General features: G+C 63.8%; 5 annotated features.

Moving 5' to 3' along the window:
• Positions 4,006-4,515: an enhancer, noted in NCBI's record as "H3K4me1 hESC enhancer chr16:1087280-1087789 (GRCh37/hg19 assembly coordinates)". NCBI's record gives its function as "activates a minimal SCP1, AML or CMV promoter by ChIP-STARR-seq in primed H9 embryonic stem cells {active_cell/tissue: H9 hESC(primed)}" and the evidence as "EXISTENCE:reporter gene assay evidence [ECO:0000049][PMID:30033119]".
• Positions 14,195-14,810: an enhancer, noted in NCBI's record as "H3K27ac-H3K4me1 hESC enhancer chr16:1097469-1098084 (GRCh37/hg19 assembly coordinates)". NCBI's record gives its function as "activates a minimal SCP1, AML or CMV promoter by ChIP-STARR-seq in naive H9 embryonic stem cells {active_cell/tissue: H9 hESC(naive)}" and the evidence as "EXISTENCE:reporter gene assay evidence [ECO:0000049][PMID:30033119]".
• Positions 14,811-15,425: an enhancer, noted in NCBI's record as "H3K27ac-H3K4me1 hESC enhancer chr16:1098085-1098699 (GRCh37/hg19 assembly coordinates)". NCBI's record gives its function as "activates a minimal SCP1, AML or CMV promoter by ChIP-STARR-seq in naive H9 embryonic stem cells {active_cell/tissue: H9 hESC(naive)}" and the evidence as "EXISTENCE:reporter gene assay evidence [ECO:0000049][PMID:30033119]".
• Positions 14,811-15,529: a biological region, named in NCBI's record as "Sharpr-MPRA regulatory region 13654".
• Positions 15,235-15,529: an enhancer, noted in NCBI's record as "tiled region #13654; K562 Activating DNase matched - State 20:ReprD". NCBI's record gives its function as "activates a minimal TATA promoter and a strong SV40 promoter by Sharpr-MPRA in K562 cells {active_cell/tissue: K562}" and the evidence as "EXISTENCE:reporter gene assay evidence [ECO:0000049][PMID:27701403]".

Consider the following 20,267-nt stretch of genomic DNA (forward strand, 5'->3'; position numbering starts at 1 on the left):
TCCATCCATCCATCATCGATCCATCATCCATCCATCCACCATCGATCCATCATCCATCCATCCACTCATCCTTCCACCAGTCCATCAATCCATCCATCCATCAATCCATCCATCCATCATCCATCCATCAATCCATCTACCAGTCCATGCATCTATCCATCCATCCACCAACCCATCCATCCAACCATCCATCCATCCATCCATCAACCCATCCATCCATCATCCATCCATCCATCATCCATCCATCCATCCATCCATCAATTCACCTATCCATCCACCCACCTATCCATCCATCCATCATCCATCCATCCACCAGTCCATCAATCCATCCATCCACCCATCCATCCAACAGTCCATGCATCCACGCATCCATCCATCCAACAGTCCATGCATCCATGCATCCATCCATCCATCCATCCATCCACCAGTCCATCCATCCATATCCATCCACCTATCCATCCACCCACCTATCCATCCATCCACCATCCATCCATCCACCAGTCCACCCATCTATCCATCCATCCATCCATCCACCTATCCATCATCCATCTATCCATCCATCCATCAGTCCATCCATCCATCTATCCATCTATCCATCCATTAATCCATCCACCAGTCTATCCATCTATCCATCCATCCACCCACCCAGCTATCCATACATCCACCCAACCATCCATCCATCCACCTATTCATCCATTCATCCATCCACCAGTACATCCACTCATCCATCCATCCATCCATCCATCCATCCATCCATCCATCCACCTATCCATCCATTAATCCATCCACGAGTCCATCCATCTATCCATCCATCCATCCACCCATCCATCCATCTATCCATCCATCCACCCAGTCATCCACCTATCCATCCATTCATCCATCCACCAGTCCATCCATCCATCCATCCATCCATCCATCTGTTGGTTCATCTTTCTATCTATTTGACCATCCATCCATCCATCCATCCATCCATCCATCCACCAGTCCATCCCTCCACCCAGCAGTCTATCCATCCATCCACCCATCGATCCATCTATTCATCCATCCACCAGTCCATCCATCCATCCATCCATCCATCCATCCATCCATCCATCCATTCATTCATCCATCCATCCATGTACTCATCCATCCACCTGTCCATCCATCTATCCATCCAGCCAGCCAGCCAGCCAGCCACTCATCCAACCATCCATCCATTCATCCACCCACCAGCCCATCCACCTATCCATCCATCCATCCATCCATCTGTTGGTTCATCTTTCTATCTATTTGACCATCCATCCATTCATCCACCCATCCATCCACGCATCCATCTATCCACCCACCAGTCCATCCATCCGTCCTTCCATCTATCTATTGGTCCACCTATCTATCTATGCAACCATCCATCCACCCATCCATCCACCCATCCATCCATCCATCCATCCATCCATCCATCCATCCCTCTGTCCATTTGTCCATCTGTCCATCCCTCCACATGTTTGACTTTGGTGAGCAATGAATGGGAGGGGAGGGGAGTCTCAGTCATGCCCCAGCCCCTCACAGCCCACCCTCCTCCCAGGGCCTTGGCCTCTCTGCCGACACCAGGCAGTCAGCCCAGCCTGCAGCTGTGAGCTCCGGGTGGGAGGCTGAACCCACTGGCTCCTGCCACTGCAGCTGAAAAGCATTTCCAGTTTACAGCAACCTAATTATTCACCCCTCCTTTGGATGGGGAAAGCTCGGGGAGGGAAGACATGGCTGCTGGTCCAAGCAGATTCAGACTCTAGAGGACAGGCTTTTGGATGGGAGTCCTGGGGTGTGTGGAGGTGGCTGGGCCAGGGTTGGGGGGTTCGAGGTGGAGTGGCTCCCCCTTGCCTGCAACGTCTTAGGCTGGGGCTCTGCTGGGGCATGAGGGCACAATGCCACAATGCCAGGCTGGGTGGCGAGGGGGTGGGCTTGGCTGAGATGCTGGCCCACACGGCCCAGCTGCTCAAGCCCTGGAAGCCAGTGTGGGGCTGGGCAGAGGAGGGGCAGAATCTCTGGGGAGGGGATGGACAGGCAGAGTCCTGGGGCTGCCTGGTTCCAAGCGGACGCTGCCTGGGGTGCAGGGACCGACACCCTCTGACCCTGTCTTGGCCTATTTTCCAAGACTCATGGGGCTGGCAGGGCTGGGGGTCTGAGGCTGTCGACCACAGAATTGACCTTCAGCTGTCTGGAGGAGCCAGTCTGGGGACTGTGAGGAGTGGGGAGCCAGAGGCTACTGCCAGGCCTTGAAACCGTGGCTTAGGAGGGGCTCCTGGGTTCTGGAGGGCCACGGGGAGTGAGGGGATGCATGGTTAGTCCTGGGCCAGTTCAGCATCAGCCACGTAGCGTCTCTCACACTCTCAACCTCCCTGGAGGTGCAGATGGGGAAACTGAGGCTTGGCGCCATGCAGGTCGGAAGTGGTGGGGCCCACGTTCTCGGCTGGCCTATGCCACTGCTGTGGACAGAAGCCAGTGAGGAGGCGGAGGTGATGGGCCTGGCCAGAACCCTGTCCTGAGGCCCCCACAGCCGCCAGCCCAGGGTGCCACTGAGCAGGGACATGGCCTACGTCCCATCTTCCTGGCATGGGCCTCAGTGGACAACGGGGCCCTGTCAGGAGCTGAGTGAGTGGACAGGAGGGGAGGGGGAGAGCCTGAGGGGTTGAGGACCCCACCACCACCATCATTAACCCCCCAAGGCCAGTCGTGGAGGCAGGGAGGGCACACTGGCCACTGCTGGGGTGGGGACCTTAAATTTCTTCACTGCCCCCACCCCAAGAGCGTCTGCATTTATTAGGTGCCTCCTGTGTGCCTGTGCCTGGCTGCCTGGCGGGGCCTCCACCTATGGGATTGCTCTGCAGTCCTGCGACTGGGGCCTCGGTCACTGCCCCTGCACCAGGGCACCAAGGCCTGGCGGGAAGAGGCCCCGGGGAACACAGTGGGACTCCCCAGGAGCTCCGTCAGCCTGAGGTGCCCTTGAGTCACCAGAAGGGCCTGGGAGCGGGTGCACAGAGCCCGGCCAGCTTCCTCGTCGCTCCCTCCTCCTCTGCAAATGAGCTCCTGGCACTGAGACCTTGCCTGGAGTCTGACCCTGATCGGGGCCCCACGGGGCTGAACAAGACATGAGCTCTGCCCGTACTGTCCCTGTGTGTGGCTGCTCCTCTGGGGGTCTGGGAGCGGGGAGGGACCCAGGAAGCCTTCTTCCTCCCCCTCCAGCCTGAGGAATCCCTGAAGGAGGGGTTCCCCGGGGAGGGGCGTGGGGTACACCGCCCGGGGGAGCTTGGTGCTGTGAAGGAGGGGTTCCCCGGGGAGGGGCGTGAGGGACCACAGCCCTGGGAGCTTGGTGCTGTGAAGGAGGGGTTCCCCGGGGAGGGGCCTGAGGGGCCACTGCCTGGGGGAGCTTGGCACTGTGCCCTGTCCTGGATGTGGGTTTCTGCAGTTTCTGCCCCCGAGGGGCCTTGGTGGAGGCTCCATCTTCAGAGCCAGAGACCCCCAGATGGTGATTCTCCCACTGCACCCTTCCAGGGCAATGAACTGCACCCAAGAGCGGCCCACGCCGTCCCATGTCCCTGCGGTCCAGCGCTCCCGTGGGGCCCCACCTGCCATCCCCCCAGTAGGGTCCTGCCCACACTGGCTCCACCCTGATCTGTCCCCCACTCCTCAAGGGACTCTCCTTGTGTGTGCTGTGGGCAGCGCAGGGGTCAGTGTGGTTTCTTGCCCAGGGTATCCTACCTGGGGTTCTGTCAGGGAGTCCCTGCCCCCACCTAGGAACCTCAAAGCTTAGGGGACACACTGTAGCTGGGACGGGGCTGTCACTCCCCAGGGGCCAGGAGCCCCGTGTGTGGGCAGCCAGCCGAGGCAGCAGCGGGCAGAGACATGCAGGGAAGTGGCCCTGCGGCCATGACTCATCTCAGCGCTCAGCTGATGGTGCTCGGCAGCTCCTGAGCCTGGAGCCTGTAACCTGTATCCCCTGCCCCCCACCTCCGTGTCCTGGAGCCAGGTCTTCAGCACGCTGGTGATTAGGAGGCCCCACTCCCTCCTCGCCCGCTCCAAGGAAGCACCCGCCGCCTCCCAGCCAGGATGATCCCGGAATCCTAGAGTTGCCCAAATCAGGAGGGAGCCAGGAATCCCGACGCCGTGGGGTGGAGGGGGGTGCCTGGGGCCGCTCGTGGGGGGTGGGGTGGAGGGGGGTGCCCCAGGCTGCTCATCGGGGGCAGGAGGAGCCTGCGGCTGGGACGGGATCCGCCTGGAGACTGCCAGCCCTCCCGTGCCGCTTTGGGGATTCAGGAGATTACGTACAGTTGTTTGTGGTTTGTCTTTGGTAATTGCCAGTTGCGGCCTGTGGCTGAAAGAAGCCGAAATCAGAGGTAGGGACAGATCCTGAGCTGGTAGTGCCAGGAAGGTCCCGGTCCCGGTCAGGCCTGGGCCCATGAAGTGGGTAACTGCTGTGAGGGGGCTCAGCCTCTGCCTCCTGACCTGGGGAAGCCAGCAGCCATGTCGGGAGGGCCCAGACAGCGCCATGGAGGGGCCATGTGTAGGGGCCAAGACCTCCTGACTCCCAGCACTGATGGAAGAGGGCAAGGTGGACCCCAGGTAGGGCTCCCCCAGCCCCAGGCCAGCCTTCAGGTGACCTCGGCCCTGGCTGACAGCTTGATGGTAATGTCTCCCTAAGCCACACCACCCAGCCAAGCCCTTCTCGATTCTCAGACCTCAGAGGCCGTGTGAGACAGCGAGGTCTTCAATTGTTTAAAGCAGCTGCATTTGGGAGCACCCAAAACAAAATACCACAGACGGGGCAGCTCACATAGCAGACATCGCTCCCCTCACCGCACTGGAGCCTGTGAACCAGGGTGGGCTTCTCCCGCCGTCTCCTCCTGGTTCACATATGGCGCCTTCCCAGGTCCCCACAGGCCTCTCCTCTGTGTGCGCGTCTCCAGCCCTCTGCTCCCTGGAAGGGCACTGTGAGGCTGCATTAGGCCCCCGGAAGGCCTCGTTTTAAAAGAATTGTGTCTTTAACGGCCTGTCCTCAAGTACAGTCACATGCGGAGGTGCCAAGGGCTGGGACCTCTGGGGAGACACACTCAGCCCACGGCAGCAGCAGAGGCTGACGCTCCCACCACCCTGCCTTCTGCTCCAGCCCTGGCTCCTGGGGGCTTCTTTCCACGAAGCCTCACGTCGCCGGCTGCTCTTTCAGGGGCGCCCCACGTCTGCTTGACCCCGTAGCCCATCACACGCACCAGCGTTCTTTCATTTACTCAACCAAGGGTGAGGGCAGTTCCCTCAATAGCTGCCCCGCTCGGACCCTGGCATTGTCCCTGCGTGACGATGTCCTGGTCGCCTGTGAGCTCCCGGGCGGCTTCTCGGGGGAGTTGCTCTGCAGCCCACGCCGGGGGTTCTCCTGGGACCCCGTCCTCAGGGGCGCCAGGCATTGAAGCAGCCTCGGTCAGAATCTACCCTGCCGCTTCCGGCCCCGCAACACAGGCAGTTCGCACCGCGTCTGGGGCCGGAAGAGCCACTCAGCCTTCATGCTCCACTTGTGAATTCCACTCACTCACCCATTCACACAGGCGCTCATTCACGGAGCCCCCCGGGGGGCTGCACTGCACCAGGCACGGCCCTGAGTCCCCTGGGCTCTGCCGCACGGAGCTTGCTTCTTGGTGTGAACTACAACCTGGTCCTCTGAAGGTCCCTCAGGATTTTCCAGATAAAGGGCTTCTAGCCAAATGACCCGGGGAAATACAGGTTACGCAGCGCTAGCTGGACCTGTCAGTGCAGGCCTTATCAGAGCCTTGAGTGTTCGAATGGGTACCAGGCAGATTCAGAGGGAGGCAGAGCCATGGGCTGCTTGGGAATGTCTGTCCTCTGCGTGTATCAGGCCGGGTTGAGGGGGTGGCACCATCCCTGCTGCGGAACGAGAGGCAGGCAGGTGTCCCAGACTACTTCCTTGTCGCTTCTGGAAGCTTGTGCCTCCAGCCCAGCCCTGCATGGAGAGAAGGAACCGGCCCACCCCGGCTGCATCCCTGGGGCCGGCCTGGTCCCACCTAGGTCTCAGTGTTCCCTCTGAACCAGGGGCTGGGACCTTCTCTAGGACCCCTGGCCCTGCCACTCTGTCATCACTGGCAGGAAAGGGGTGCTAACCCCAGCTAGCGTCCCCTCAGTCCCCGCCCCCAGGCAGTCATACGCACACACGTGCAGAGACACGCAGGTGGACACACACACACATGCACACGCTGACTGCCCTGGCTCCAGGCTCCGTCCATCCAGGGACCCTGAAACTGCCCAGGGCCTGTCCCAGTCTTTCCAGCCCTGCCCATGCTCGGGGATCTGCTGGGTCCCAGAACTTCATGGAACTCTCCAGACATCCTGCTCCCTGCCCCTAAAACTCCAAGGTGGGGCCATGTCCAGGTTTCCCCACCACGGGCTGCTGAAGCACCTACGGCTGGCACCTCCCTTTCCAGATGGGGAAACTGAGGCAGGGGCCGAGTGATGTCCCCCCATGTCAGGACCAGAGTGCAGCAGAGCCGGGACTCAAACCAGGCTGCCTTCGAGTCTGGGGTCTTAAGCCCCATGGAGCCCTGGGCAGCCCACACCCTCGCAGGCTGGACCTTGCGGGAAGCAGCTCTCACACCTGGTGAGACACTCACCTGTGAGGCCCCGGGCCTTCCTCACTCTCAGTTCTCACGGGAGCCCAGAGATAAGGTTCAGAAAGGTTACGTAGCTCAGCCAAAGTCACACAGCTGGTCTGACGCAAGTCTCACAAAAGCCAGTTTCATTACCTGAACGTGGTGAAGCCTCTGTCTTTGGGTCTTAAGGGCAAAAAAAACAAAAAAACAAACAAAAAACTAAACAAACAAAAAAAAAACGTTGAGGAGGAAAGAGGCGACCTGTGCCCGGGACCCGGGCCTTGGGGCCCCGGGAGGTGGAGGTGGTCCCATTCCAGTGAGGGCAGTGGACGTGCCAGGGTCTTCTGGGGCCCAGAGGCTGGAAACGTCCTTCCAAGAGAACAGCCAGGCCCAAGTTGCCACAAGCCTGGCCCCGCTGAGGTTCACGCCGAGGTCCCCCCCGAAGTTCCCCCCTGAGGGCCCCCCAAGGTTCGGCTCTGAGGTTCCCCCCAGAGGATCCCCCCCGAGGTTCCCGCCGAGGCTCCCCGCCGAGGATCCCCCCTCAAGGTTCCCCCCGAGGTTCCCGCCAGGGTCCCCGCCAAGGTTCCCGCCGAGGTTCTCCCCGAAGTTCTGCCCGAGGTCCCCACCGAGGTCCCCGCCGAGGTTCCCCCCGAGGTTCCCCCCGAGGTCCCCCCCCGAGGTTCCCCCCGAGGTCCCCGCCAAGCTCCCCACCGAGGTCCCCACCGAGGTTCCTGCCGAGGTCCCCCCGAGGTCCTGCTGAGGTTCCTGCCGAAGCCCCAACGTGTGATTAGGAAAGCGGGGCTTTGGCTGTGGGACCACAGAGCCCCAGTAGGAGCCCCCGCCCCAGCACAGTGAACCCAGGACAACGTCGGGGCTGCCTGAGTGCCAGCGCCCCTGTCCCCAAGCTGGGGTGCCCCTCACCCCACACCAAGGAGGGAATGTGGCCCGGCTCCCAGCCCTGTGCCTGCACAAGCCTCTGCCCTGTCCCAAGTCATGTCCTGCTTCTGTGACCCTCCTCTGCCCAGACCCCCAGCTCCCACGTCCTCCCCAGACCCCCAGCTCACACCTCCTCCTCCTGACCCCCAGCTCCCATCTCCTCCCAGACCCCCAGCTCCCACCTCCTCCCAGACCCCCAGCTCACACCTCCTCCCAGACCCCCAGCTCACACCTCCTCCCTGAGACCCCCAGCTCACACCTCCTCCCTGAGACCCCCAGCTCACACCTCCTCCCCGAGACCCCCAGCTCACACCTCCTCCCCGAGACCCCCAGCTCCCACCTGCTCCCAGACCCCCAGCTCACACCTCCTCCCAGACCCCTAGCTCACACCTCCTCCGAGACCCCCAGCTCACACGTCCTCCCAGACCCCCAGCTCACATCTCCTCCCCGAGACCCCCAGCTCACACCTCCTCCCCGAGACCCCCAGCTCACACCTCCTCCCAGACCCCCAGCTCCCACCTCCCAGACCCCCAGCTCCCACCTCCTGCCAGACCCCCAGCTCACACCTCCTCCCAGACCCCCAGCTCACACCTCCTCCCAGACCCCCAGCTCATACCTCATCCCAGACCCCCAGCTCCCACCTCCTCCCCAAGACCCCCAGCTCACACCTTCTTCCCTTGAGACTCTCAGCTCCCACCTCCTCCCCAGACCCCCAGCTCCCACCTTCCCCTGACACCTCCCAAGCTCCCACTTTTCCCCAAGGGTCCCCCTCTCGTTATCACTGGATCCTCATCCTCTGAGGCCTTCTTTCCTGGGCTCTGTCCTGGTTCCCCATCCCCTGGCAGCCTGGGAGCTCCAGCAGGGAAGGGCAAGGCCTGGGATACCTCTGCCCTGGGTGCCAGGCCTAGGGCACACTTGCTTCATGGACCACCCTGGGATCACTTGGGCCTAGGATTTTGAGGCCAGCCTGGCAACATAGGCAGACCCCATCTCTACCAACAACAACAACAAAAAATTAGCCAGGCGTGACTAGTCCCAGTTACTCAGTAGGCTGGGGCAGGAGAATCCCTTGAATCCAGGAGGCTGAGGTTGCAGTGAGCCAAGATGGCATCATTGCACTCCAGCCTGGTGAACAAGAGCAAAACTCCATCTGTGCTTGGTGTGAGGTAGGGATCTAGCTCTATGTGTATGTGACGGACAGAAAGTCATCCCCATGGTGTGGTCACTGTGGGGTCTGTCCCCTCCTCCACCGAGCCCCAGTGCGCCAACTGCCCCATCTGCTTGGTCCATTACTGAACTCTCTGTTCTGTTCCATCAACTCAAATCAACCTACAAAAATGGCTGTAATCAGCCTGGGTATGCGTGACCCCAAAACAGCTGGTTAATTCCCTGAAAAGAATTGAGTGCCAGATGTGGGGGATCGTGTAACCTGAGGGCTGCTTCTCTACTTTCAGTTTTGGCCGGGGTGGGAGTTCTAATAATCACTCATTTGCTGCTTTGCAGGCAGACACTCACTGCATGCCTCCAGGGTGTCAGGCACCAGGATGGGCCATGGTGGGTGGAGCTTAAGAGCAGTACACACTGGAAGGCAGGGAGGGATTGACAATGCGGCAAAAACACACGCCAGGTCATTTTTGTGAGGGACAGGCACTACTGAGAAAACCACACGATGTAGGCACAGGTGGCTGTCAGGGAGGGCTTCTTGGAGGAAGTGATCTTTTTGTCTGGGTCTGATGGATGAGATGGAGTTCACGAGCGAAGATCTAGGGTGGAGGAATTCCAGGAATAGCAACTAAAACGGTCCCGCAGCAGGAATGGGCATTGCGTGGACACTACCGGTGGCGCTGGAGCTGGGAGGGAGGTGGGGGCTGCAGAGAAGCAGGCAGGGCCAGCCCACCAAGGAGAAAGCCTTCAAGGGGTGGGGCGGGTGGCGTGGACACTAGGACCTCGCCACGTGGCTGCCTCGAGCCAGAGCACTGTGGGGAGGACCCTCCCTTCTGCATCGACGGTGCCACAGTGGGAGGAAGGTTTATCCACCGAAGTCCAGGCCGGCCCATCCCCATCCCGCCCCTTCCCGGTGCTGCTCCAGCTCCAGAGCCTGCAGCTCCCCAGTCAGCACTTGGGGGTCAGACCCTGGCCCAGGCCACGTTTGCCCCCACGGCCCCAGGATGCCCGGTCCTTGCCTCCCTGGAAAGCCCAACCCTCTGCCCGCCCCTCGGCCAGCAGAGCCTTTCACGGAACTGGAGGACACCTGGCTGAGCTGCCTGGAAGGTCTGCAGCTCACAGCCTGAGGGGACGCCTGGAGCTGGCTCAGCACAAAACAGGATGTGCCTGATGCTGAGTTCGCAAAACTGCGCATGAGCACGGGCGGCTGAGAGCAGCAGGAGGACCGGGGCCGTGCAGGGGGGCGGTCAGGGACCCCTCGGGTCAGCCTTGGGGCCGTTCTGGGGGGTGGTCAGGGACCCCTCGGGTCAGCCTTGGGGCCGTTCCAGGGGGGTGGTCAGGGACCCCTCGGGTCAGCCTTGGGGCCGTTCCAGGGGGGTGGTCAGGGACCCCTCGGGTCAGCCTTGGGGCCGTTCCAGGGGGGTGGTCAGGGACCCCTCGGGTCAGCCTTGGGGCCGTTCCAGGGGGGTGGTCAGGGACCCCTCGGGTCAGCCTTGGGGCCGTTCCAGGGGGGTGGTCAGGGACCCCTCGGGTCAGCCTTGGGGCCGTTCCAGGGGGGTGGTCAGGGACCCCTCGGGTCAGCCTTGGGGCCGTTCCAGGGGGGTGGTCAGGGACCCCTCGGGTCAGCCTTGGGGCCGTTCCGGGGGGTGGTCAGGGACCCCTCGGGTCAGCCTTGGGGCCGTTCCGGGGGGTGGTCAGGGACCCCTCGGGTCAGCCTTGGGGCCGTTCTGGGGGGTGGTCAGGGACCCCTCGGGTGGGTCTTAGGGACCGTGCAGGAAGACAGTCAGGGACAAGCGATGGCTTGGTACCCTCCGTAGCCCGAAGCCGGCCGGCAGGGAGCTCTGGGCAGCTGTCCACAGACCTGGGGGAGCCCTGTCCTAAATGGACAGCGGGGTCCCCGCCAGGCCCAGCTCCCGCCTCTCCCAGGCCTGGGGGCAGTGGGCAGTTGGCCACTTCAGCCGCTTTGCTGTGGTCCAGGCAGGCGGGGACCCTCAGGGCCCCAGCGGGGCATCAGGGTGTTCGGGAGGCGGCGCCGGCTGTGAGTGGGGCCCTGGGCCGGCGGCGGCGGGGGCGCCGGTTTTCTCGGCATTAAGCCTGGCTCCGCTCTGCCGGCTGTGGAATTCCTGGTCTGATCCGTCTCCAGATTGGCCCTGGAAGAAATTGGGGGAGAATCGATTTGTGCCACGTTCTAGCAGCACGGCCTCATCATGACAGACGCCAGGCAACCACGGGCAGGGAGCCCCCCGCCCTCCTCCTGGGACCCCTGGGCTCCTCGCTCCCCTGCCCCACCCCCTTCCCGCCCCCACGCCCCTGGCCGGCCTGCTGGCGCCTGGGAAGGGGAAGAGGGGGTTGCCGCTTGCCGGGAGTCACGCGGCACTGCCCAGAAGCTCAGCGGGGTCTCCCGGGCGGCACTGCCCAGAAGCTCATCCTGCCCCATGCGGCCCAGAAACGAGAGTGTCCCCAGCACAGGGACACCCGCCCGGGGCCGCCTGGGGGGCCGAGGTGGGGCCAGGACAGCTCCGGGCCTCTTCCTCTCCCTTGGCCTCCTTGCTCCAAGGCTCCTCTGGGAGCCCAGGGAGGAGAGGGAGAGGCCTCAGGAGGGCTTCCCGGAGGAGGTGGCCCTGAGCTGGTGCTGGAGGAAGCCCTCACGTGGCCCGGAGCCTGGTTCCGGCATCGGTAAATTACACGTCCCTTTCCGGCGCCCAGTGGCGTCAGGCACTGCCTGTGGCTCCGCGAGGGGCGTCCGCGCGTCGTCGGGCTGAGTGTTCTCAGTCACCTAGAGCTGCACCCCCTAACACCGGCTTCCCCAAGCCCCCGGACAGCCCCACAGCTGGCATGGTGCTCACAGCCCCGAGCGGAGCCGCCAGCCCCAGGTGGCCTCTTTGGCCTCCCAGGCCCAGGGCTGGGTGGGGCCGGGAGGAGCCTGGAGGGGCGGGGTTCGCTTTCAGAGCCAAGGCTTCCGGCCTCTCCCGGCCACTGGACTGTGGGTGCCCTGCGTAGACCCTGCCCTGCCAGGCAGCTGGGAGGCACAGAAGCCTCTCCAGGGAGGGACAGAGGGGCCTGGGTGGGCCAGGGCGTCCGCACTGCAGGCGAGGGCTGGGCCTCAGCTTCCTCGTCTGCTAAGTGGGGCCCCCTGGGCTCTGGTCAGCCTCCCAAGGCTCCTCACCACCTCCGGGAAGCCGCCTGGATTGCTCTGCTCAGAATGGAAAGTGAGGGCCAGAGCCAGGGACTGCAGCCTGAAGGCGCCTGTGCTCCCTGCTCAGCCCTGCCCGCTTGGCCGTGGCCGTGGCTGGGGCTGCAGCTTCACAGCTGTGCTGAGGGGCCCCGCCGACGGTGGGGTCCAGACCTGGTCCCACCCAGATGTGGCAGCGCTGAGGCCTGGGGAGTGGCTGGAAGCTCACACAGGGCCAGAGAGGAGCCGCCACGGCCGGCGCTGGGTCCAGAGTGCTGCTGGCCGGCCCTCCACAGACACAGTCCGCTCCACCCTGGCCCTGTGCCCCTGTAGGCACCGAGCTGCCGAAGGCTGGGCCGCTGCCGCCATGACGATTTCGCATCCACCCTGCTCTGGGGGCCCAGGGAGCGCCAGGCCCAGCCGAGCTTCATTCTGACACAGACCCTGTGGTGGGGGCCGAGTTTTTGTCACCTCCTGATGACAGCGAGGGACACAGCACTAACCGGGACAGCCTCTTGCTCAGGGGAGCAGCTGCACCAGCACCGAAGCCCAGGCCGGGTGGGGAGGGAGGGGCATGGCCTGCCCTCCAGGTGCTCCCGGTCTGCTGGGGACGTGGGAGGAGTGTCCTGGCCCTGGGCCCCATCGTGAATGAAAGGGGTCCAGCGTCTTGTTGCCGGGCCGTCCAGCCAGCTGTTCGTACCTAACACTGCTGCAGGGAGGGGTCCGGGGGACTTGGCATCTGCCTCTACGTGTGTTCCCAGCCGGCAAGCGGGGTCCCCCGCCTTTGCCAGAGCGGGCTGCCCAGGGCCCCGGGCGGCCACTCTGCACCACTCGGGGTGGGGTGGGGTGGGTCTCGGGCAGGGGCCGGAAGAGGGGCTGCTGGGACCCAGCTAGCTGAGGAGGGCAGCTCGGGGAGGGCTGGGTGGCCCAGGGGAGCCGGGAGGGCAGGCGTGTGCTGGGCGTAGTTCCAGCTTGTGACTGGGCTCTGAGAGGAGTGACCATGGAGGGGTGGCCCATGTTATCCTCTCAGCTGCTAACAGGTTCTGCCACCCACTCCTGGCCACAGATGGGGAGACTGAGGCACACAGCAGGGCCGTCAGCAGCGCGAGGCTGCAGGCAGCCAGTGGTGTGGAGGTTACCCAGGAGTCACCCAGCACGGCGGGGTGGTAGGTTCGGGCCGCCCCAGCGTGAACTCTCCCGCTCCCGCCCTGCTCCTGGGCCCGTGGTCTGGCTCTTCCTGCTTCCTCCACCTCCAGGAAGCCACCAGGATTGCTGTGCTCTGAACCAGCCCTCCGTGCCCAGCCCAGCCACTGCTCAGCCACAGCGATGCCACATCCGAGTGCAGCCAGACCCTGGCCTGGGGCCCGTGGTGGGCAGGGGCCGCCTCACCACAGCTGTCCAGGCTGCAGCCCCCAGCCACGGCGGAGCAGGCGGGGCTGGGACCGGAGAATAGACGCCTTCATGCCACAGCCCCTGGCTCTGGGCTGTGCCTGGGCCCCACCCTGGCCCCCGTGCTCCCCCCACCGTGCCCGCGGTGCCCTCCTCCGCCCGCGCGGCTGGTGGCAGGGCCTCCCCGTGTGGGACCGGGCAGCCACCTGCTGCCCACAGCCACAGCCGCACAATGGGCCCTTGTGAGCCGGCGGGCAGCGGGTGGCGGGCAGCGCCTCTCGGCCCACCCCGGGCTCAGAGCCCCACTGTGTGAGGCGGCTGCCCTGACTGAGGATCACGGAGCCGGCCAGGCTGGCCCCACCCACCCTCAGCCACAGGGACGGTGGCTGCTGCCCCCACCCTCTGTGGTTCCTGCCCCGGCCTCCCCTTGGGAGAGGGTGGTCTGCCTGCCTGAGGGTGGGGGTTTTCCAGAGCAGGAGTTCCGTGCCAGAGGCCACCTCCCTAGGGTGTCTCGGGCAGCCTGAGGCTGAGCGGTGGCTGGTCTGGGGGTCCAGGAGCCACTGTCCCCTCCAGGCCTCCACGTGGCCAGGGTGTGGCAGGAAGTGCGTTGCAAATGCTCAAGCCATCCCAGGCACTGTCCTGCTCCAGGGAGAACTGAGCTGCCCCAGAGCTGGGCAGGAGAGATGGGGCCTCTTTCCCGGGGAAGCTCAGTGCATCGGGGAGGCCCTGTCCGTGGGACAGCGAAGGCATAGAGAAGCCAAGCTGAGCAGTGGGACAGGCGGGAGAGCCAAGTGCCTGGATCCAGCCATGCCTGAAGCCATCCCTCAAATTCATGACTGATTTTTAAAATGTATTTTATTTTATTTTTTTGAGATGGGGTCTCGCTCTGTCGCCCAGGCTACAGTGCAGTGGTATGATCATAGCTCACTGCAGCCTCAGACTTGCAGGCTCAAGCCATCTTCCTGCCTCAGCCTGCCAAGGAGCTGGGAATACAGGCACACACCACTGATCCTGGCTTTTTTTGGTATAGACGGGGTTTCCCTATGTTGCCCATGCTGATCTTGAACTCCTAGGCTCAAGTGATCCTCCCACGTCAGCCTCCCAAAGTGCTGGGATGACAGGCGTAAGCCACCGCCCCGACCCGTGGGTTTTAGTTGAATGGGGACACTGGTGTTTGTGTGGTTCACCTCAGAGGCCCTCGAGGTTTTGTGTGGACCCTGGGTGGGAGGCGCTCAGGGAGAGCTCAGAGGCGACCTCCTTCCCGCCCCTGCTCCTGGGCGCCCAGGCTTGTGTGGCACAGGTCAAGCCTCGGGGCACTCTGGCCTGGCAGAGTCTCTGCCCACTGTGGGGCCACTCAGGCAGTGGCTCCTCCACGGGGACCAAAGACAGGGCCCTCTCCCATCAGGGCAGCGTGTCCGGCCTGTGCCGCGGCTAGGGGCTCCTGGAAGACACCTTTGAGCAGCGGGACCCGCTGGGGTGTCTGGGCAGGGGTTTGCCCCTCGTCCAGCTCTCCGGCACACGGTTCTTGACCTCGAGGCCCCAGCTGACCACGGCCTCACAGGCCCCAAGGATGGCTCCAGGGCAGCTGGGGGAGGGGCCACACTGACTTCTCCCACCCCACCTCCTCCCTCTGTCTCTGGCTGTGCCCTGAACCCTGAGTAGCAAAGGTGGCTCAGTGACAATTCCAGACGGGGCGTTTCCTTCAAGGGGAAGGTGGGAACACTCACCCCTAGGTTGGGGGGCCTGGGGCCCTGTGCAGGGTGAGAAGTCACCTGTGGATGGTGACACAGGCCCCATGACCAGGTCCCTTTGGTGGGTGGAGGGCAGATCCCTGAGCTCAGGGGTGCAGTTCTCCTAGTGGGGGTCCCTGGGGAGCAGCTCCTGCCCTGCCCCCCTTAAAAACCATGCCCCCAGCCAGGTCCCATCCAGGGTGGGAGAGCAGCCCCGCCCTGCCTCCCCAGCTGCGCTCCCTCCCGGCTGTTCCAGGCGCACTCCGAGTCCCCAGGGCCTGTGCAAAGCCAAGGATTTCCTCGGAGCCGGAGCCGGCGCAGCTGCAAGCACACGTCGGGGGAGGGGCCGGGCAGCAGAGGAGGCGGAGTCCCGCACTCACAGGGGCGGGCTGGGCGGGGCTGGGCCGGGGAGGCGGGCTGGGGCCACAGGATCCTCCTGCCCCTCTGCCTGGGAACCTGCATCTGGGGCTGACGGGTGGGGCGGAACTGCGGGACACAGGGCTGGTGCCCCAGGTGGGCCGTGGGTGCGGGCAGTGCCGAGGGTGGACGGGGCCTGCACGTGGACACTTCCTGAACGCGTGTGTCCGGCCCTGGACTGCAGGCCCAGGTCAGAAGGTGGGGCCTGAGGAGCCGGGAGCCCATCCCCACCCCCGGGGCTCAGCAGCCTCAGGCAGTTACCCTTGGTCCACACCGCCTGGGGCTCGGTGCCCTCGGAGTTCTCAGGGCAGGCCGCAGCTGCTGCTGTCTTACGAGACAAAGGGGGCAGCTCCATTGTGTTCCCCGATGAACCCTCACCCCTGGGAGAGTCAACAGAGCCAGAGATGCCCGGGCCACCCCGCCCTCCTCGGCCGCCTGCTGCACCGCTGCCAGCCTGGGTCCTCCGAATGTACCAGGTCCCAGAAGCCCCGCCATCCACTCTGCCGGCCTCACAGAGCCTCTGCTCGGCCCTGGGGACCTGGGCAGGGGCAAGGCCGGGCCGATCCGGGGCTGCTCAGCAGGGGAGAGAGGGACACCAAGTGCCCCCAGGATCAGCGCAGCGCCCAGTGTCCTGAGTGTGACTCACAGGGTCACCGCCAGGCTACACGAAGTTAAGGACCCCTGCCCTGGAGGTCACAGAGCCAGCACTGGGGGGTGGCCCTGGCTGCTGGTTTCAGGACCCACTTGGATGGTGCTTGGGCAGCATGGCGCTGGGCTGGCAGGTGGGGGACCCTGAGACAGGGACGGTCCCATCCTGGGCCCCTCAGACCCATGAATGCAACACTCCGGCCCGCCCCTCCTGCCCTGCACGGCTTGCGACTCCCACAGACCTGCCCTGTGGACCTGGGCCAAGTCCAGCCCCAGGGGCCGCTGGGAGACACTGTGGTCAGTGGGGCGGGGGGCTCGGGCACTTGTCCCCAGATCTCCGGCCACCTCAAGTGACAGGAAGGGGGGCCAGTGAGGACATGAACAGTGGCCGCCCCCACCCTCAAGGGCTGGCCTCACTGCCCCTTCATCTCTGCCTGGCCCAGCAGCTCTGGGAGCAGCCACCCTGCAGCCCATGCGTGTGGGGACCCTGCCGTGCCCTGAGCTGTCGAAGCAGCCTCCCACTGGGTGCTGTGCTGGGCCCCTGTCCCCATCCTGCAGGGAGGAAGCACAGCTGGGGGAGTGGCCCCCCGAGGGCCCCTGGGAGCTCAGATCCTACCCCTGGAGGCAGCCCTGGGGAGGCCCGGTGGAGACTCTGCTCTTCTGCTGAAGCTGCTGCTGAAGAGTGACAGGCCTGCCCAGCGCCGGGGGAGACCCGGGACTCTCAGAGGGAGTGCAGGACAGGGCAGGGCAGGGCAGGGCCATGATTCCCGGTGACGGCCAGGCTGCCATGGGCCGAACTGCCATCTCTGGGCCTGCGGGCAGGCGCTCAGCTCCCCAGGCCTCATTTTCCTCACCTAAGGAATGGGACACGCACACCTTCGCCCCCAGGGTGGTGCAGAGAACAGGACGGTGCCTCCGAGCAGTGCCTTCAACGCCGTCTGGGGCCTGGGAATGCACCAGGACTTGATAAATAAACACCAGCTCTCAACACCTCGCCCTCTGCAAGGAGAAGGCCAGGAACGTCCCGTTTAGAGAGAAGGCGAGTCCACGAGCAGCAGACAGTCGGTGCTTAACAGGTGCTCGCTCTTCTTCAGAGCCTTAGGGTGCCAGCTGGCCAGAGTGAGCCTCGCTGACCAGGGAGCTGTGGCAGCCGGCCGGGGGTCGGCCCCTGGGGCAGGTGGGATGCCTGTGGGGCCGGCGTAGGCTCAGGCTTTGTCTGGGAGTGCCCTGCCCCGAGCACTGGCCTGGACACCTGAGCTGAGCCTCAGACAGGCGTTTCGGGGCCGACCCGGCAGGAGCAGCCGCTATCCCCGGGCAGCTGAGCCCAGCAGCGAGGGCTGGTAGAACGATCTAGACGAAACACTGAACTTAATAGCAAAACCACTTCTTTCGAGGGAAAACACGATCCGCAGCCAGCCGGCGCGTACACATGGGGCCTGGAAAAGAAGAGAATTCCGGAGACACAAACGGCCCTACGCGTCGCCGCCTCGGCCCGGCTGCTAAGTTATTAAACTCCTGCACAGGGAAAAGCGATAAAGTAAACATCCACCTCTCCCGTCGCTCTCAGAAGTGAAAGGTTCCTGAGATGGGAAATGCAGACGGCCTGCAGAGTGCTCCATCCAAATAAAATCATCAGATGCTTGAAGACCCTGGGAGAAATGGGCCCAGATGAATCACCTGCGCAAAGCCACTTAGCACTTCGCAGGGGCCCCGAAGCCCGGTGTCGGCAAGGTGTCCGTCGCTGGAGCAGGGGTGGCTGATGGATCTGGTGCGGGGTGGGCGGGAGGAGTCGCAGACTCAGATGTAGGAGGTTTGGTGGGGCCACTGATTCACGTCTGGCCCGGGGCTCTGTCCCTGGGGTCGGGAGGGGACCAGGCTGGGGAAGTTGGGGAGGGGGTTTCTCCCTTCTCTTTCCCAGCTGCCAGGCCGTCAGTGGGAGACACAGGTCTTGGGGACCAGGCCCTGCAACCCCTTCTGATCCCGACGTCTGAGACTGGCCTGGTGCTGGCTCTGAGGCCCCTGTGCAACCTCAGCTCGGGCTGGCTGCGGAGGACCTTTGAGGGTTTCCCGGCAAGGCCTTCTCCCTCTCAGCTGGCCATGGCACATAGGACCCCACTCCTCCGTATGCCCAGGGCAGGCATCGCTAATCGAGCCCTGCACTCCCTCCAACCCTTTGCATCAGGGCCCACCAGGCCCACCCACTTCTGTGCCCAGACCACCTGGCCGATGGGCGGCCCTGCCCCAGGAGGAACAGGGGTCTTCCTGCTTCCCCAGAGCTCCCGCTCTGGGTCCTGCATCCACGTCTCGGATGTGCCGCCCTCCCCACACCTGGGAGCCACGCCGACCCCCTCTGCGCTTTCCTGGGGAGACACCTCTCTGCACCAGAGATCGGCCCCCCGGGGTCTGGGCGTGGGGGCGGGGATTTGGATGTTGGGGGTGCAGAGGCCATGGCCTCGTCATCTTCTCTGACTCTGCCATGAGAGCATGACCAGGGCCTGTTGGCCCCCTGGGCCCTGACGTCCCCGGGCCCGGCACCTCCCTGGAAGCCCTACCCATTCTCCTCTTTTCCTTTTCTCACAAGGACCCTTTCACCGTAATCCTGCATGACCTCATCTTAGCTGATTAAATTTGCAAAAATGGCCAGGCTCGGTGGCTCATGCCTGTAATCCCAGCACTTTGGGAGGCTGAGGCAGGCAGATCACCTGAGGTCAGGAGTTCAAGACCAGCCCGGCCAACATGGCGAAACCCTGTCTCTACTAAAAATACAAAAAATAGCCGGGCGTGGTGGCAGGCGCCTATAATCCCAGCTACTCAGGAGGCTGAGGCAGGAGAATCAGTTGAACCTGGGAGGCGGAGGTTGCAATGAGCTGAGATAACGCCATTGCACTCCAGCCAGGGCAACAGAGTAAGACTCCATCTCAATAAATAAATAAATAAATTTGCAAAGATGCCATCTCCGTGTAAGGTCACACGCTGAGGTTCTGGGTGGATATGAATCTGGGGGACACCGTTCAGCCCAGGACAGGAACCAACTGTAGCAGGGCAGCTGTCCCGGGCACACAGTCTGACTGGCACTTACCCCTGGCAGGTCCCCCGGAGCCTGGCCCCTCCACCATGGGGCGGGGGCTCCAGTTACTTCCCTGGGGGAGTCCCTAACCTGAGGTCTCCTGTGCCGGGGTCTAGTCAGGGTGGGGGCTGCACCCCATCCCTGGAGCAGGTATGCTGGGCCCTGATAGCAAGCTGGGGAGGGTTCCAGGGCCAGAGGAGGACTCAGGGGCTGAAGGCAGTGATGGGTCCAGCAGGCAGCAGGGAGGGCAGGGCAGGGGAGGGGTGTCAAGGCCCATAAGCGAGAGGAGGCAGGAGGGAGGACATGGTACCCACAGCTGTGGTGGAGGAGGGAGGGTGTCCACAAGGTGGGTCCCCAGTTTGGAGTCTCAGGCACCCTCCGCTGTGGCCACCGACTGCTGGGGAATTGATCAGCCTCATAGCATGGCATGGAGTTGGGCCAGGCAGGGCTGGATGCCCGCCAGGGGCACTGCAGGTGGGCTACCAGGGGCTGGCCTGGGGTTCAGCTGTCACCCAGCTGACACGGGATCACCAATGGCTGCCATGGCTCAGGCATCCCTCTCCTGCCACGCTGGGGACACTGTGACACAGGCTCTCAGGTCAGTGAGGACAGTGTGGGTGTCGGAGCCTGGAGGGAGGGGAGTGGCATCGGGGAGGCCCCCGCCGAGCCTGGACAGTGGGGCAGGTGGAAGGGTGTGTGCCCGGCCGTGCACTTTGGGTCTGGTGAGCGTGGCTGAGGGGCACAGCTGCTCTTGGTCGGGGCTGCAGTGAGTGCTCAGCCCACTTGGCCACAGGCTGGCCACCAGGGACTTGGCGTCTGCTACCCACAGGACTGAGGACTCCAACAGCAGTCCCAGCCCAGGCCCCGAAAAGTTGAGCAGAGAAGGGCAGGAGGCCCCCGTATCCCTGGGACCCATCCTTGGCAGGCTGGGTTGGGCTGTGGGGGACACACCTGCTCTGGGGGATGTGGGAGGGGGGCGCTTCCGGGCCTGCAGCTGTTGGCCCCGAGGACAGACGCAGCCTCCTCAGCAACAGCTGGGCCGGAGGCTCGGGAGCCAAGAGAGACCAGAGCCCAGGCCAGCCCGGCCCCCACCAGGGATCAGTTACCTCGGCTACAGATGC

The sequence above is a fragment of the Homo sapiens genome, chromosome 16, assembly GCF_000001405.40.
Source record: "Homo sapiens chromosome 16, GRCh38.p14 Primary Assembly".
In the NCBI taxonomy this organism is placed as follows: Eukaryota; Metazoa; Chordata; class Mammalia; order Primates; family Hominidae; genus Homo; species Homo sapiens.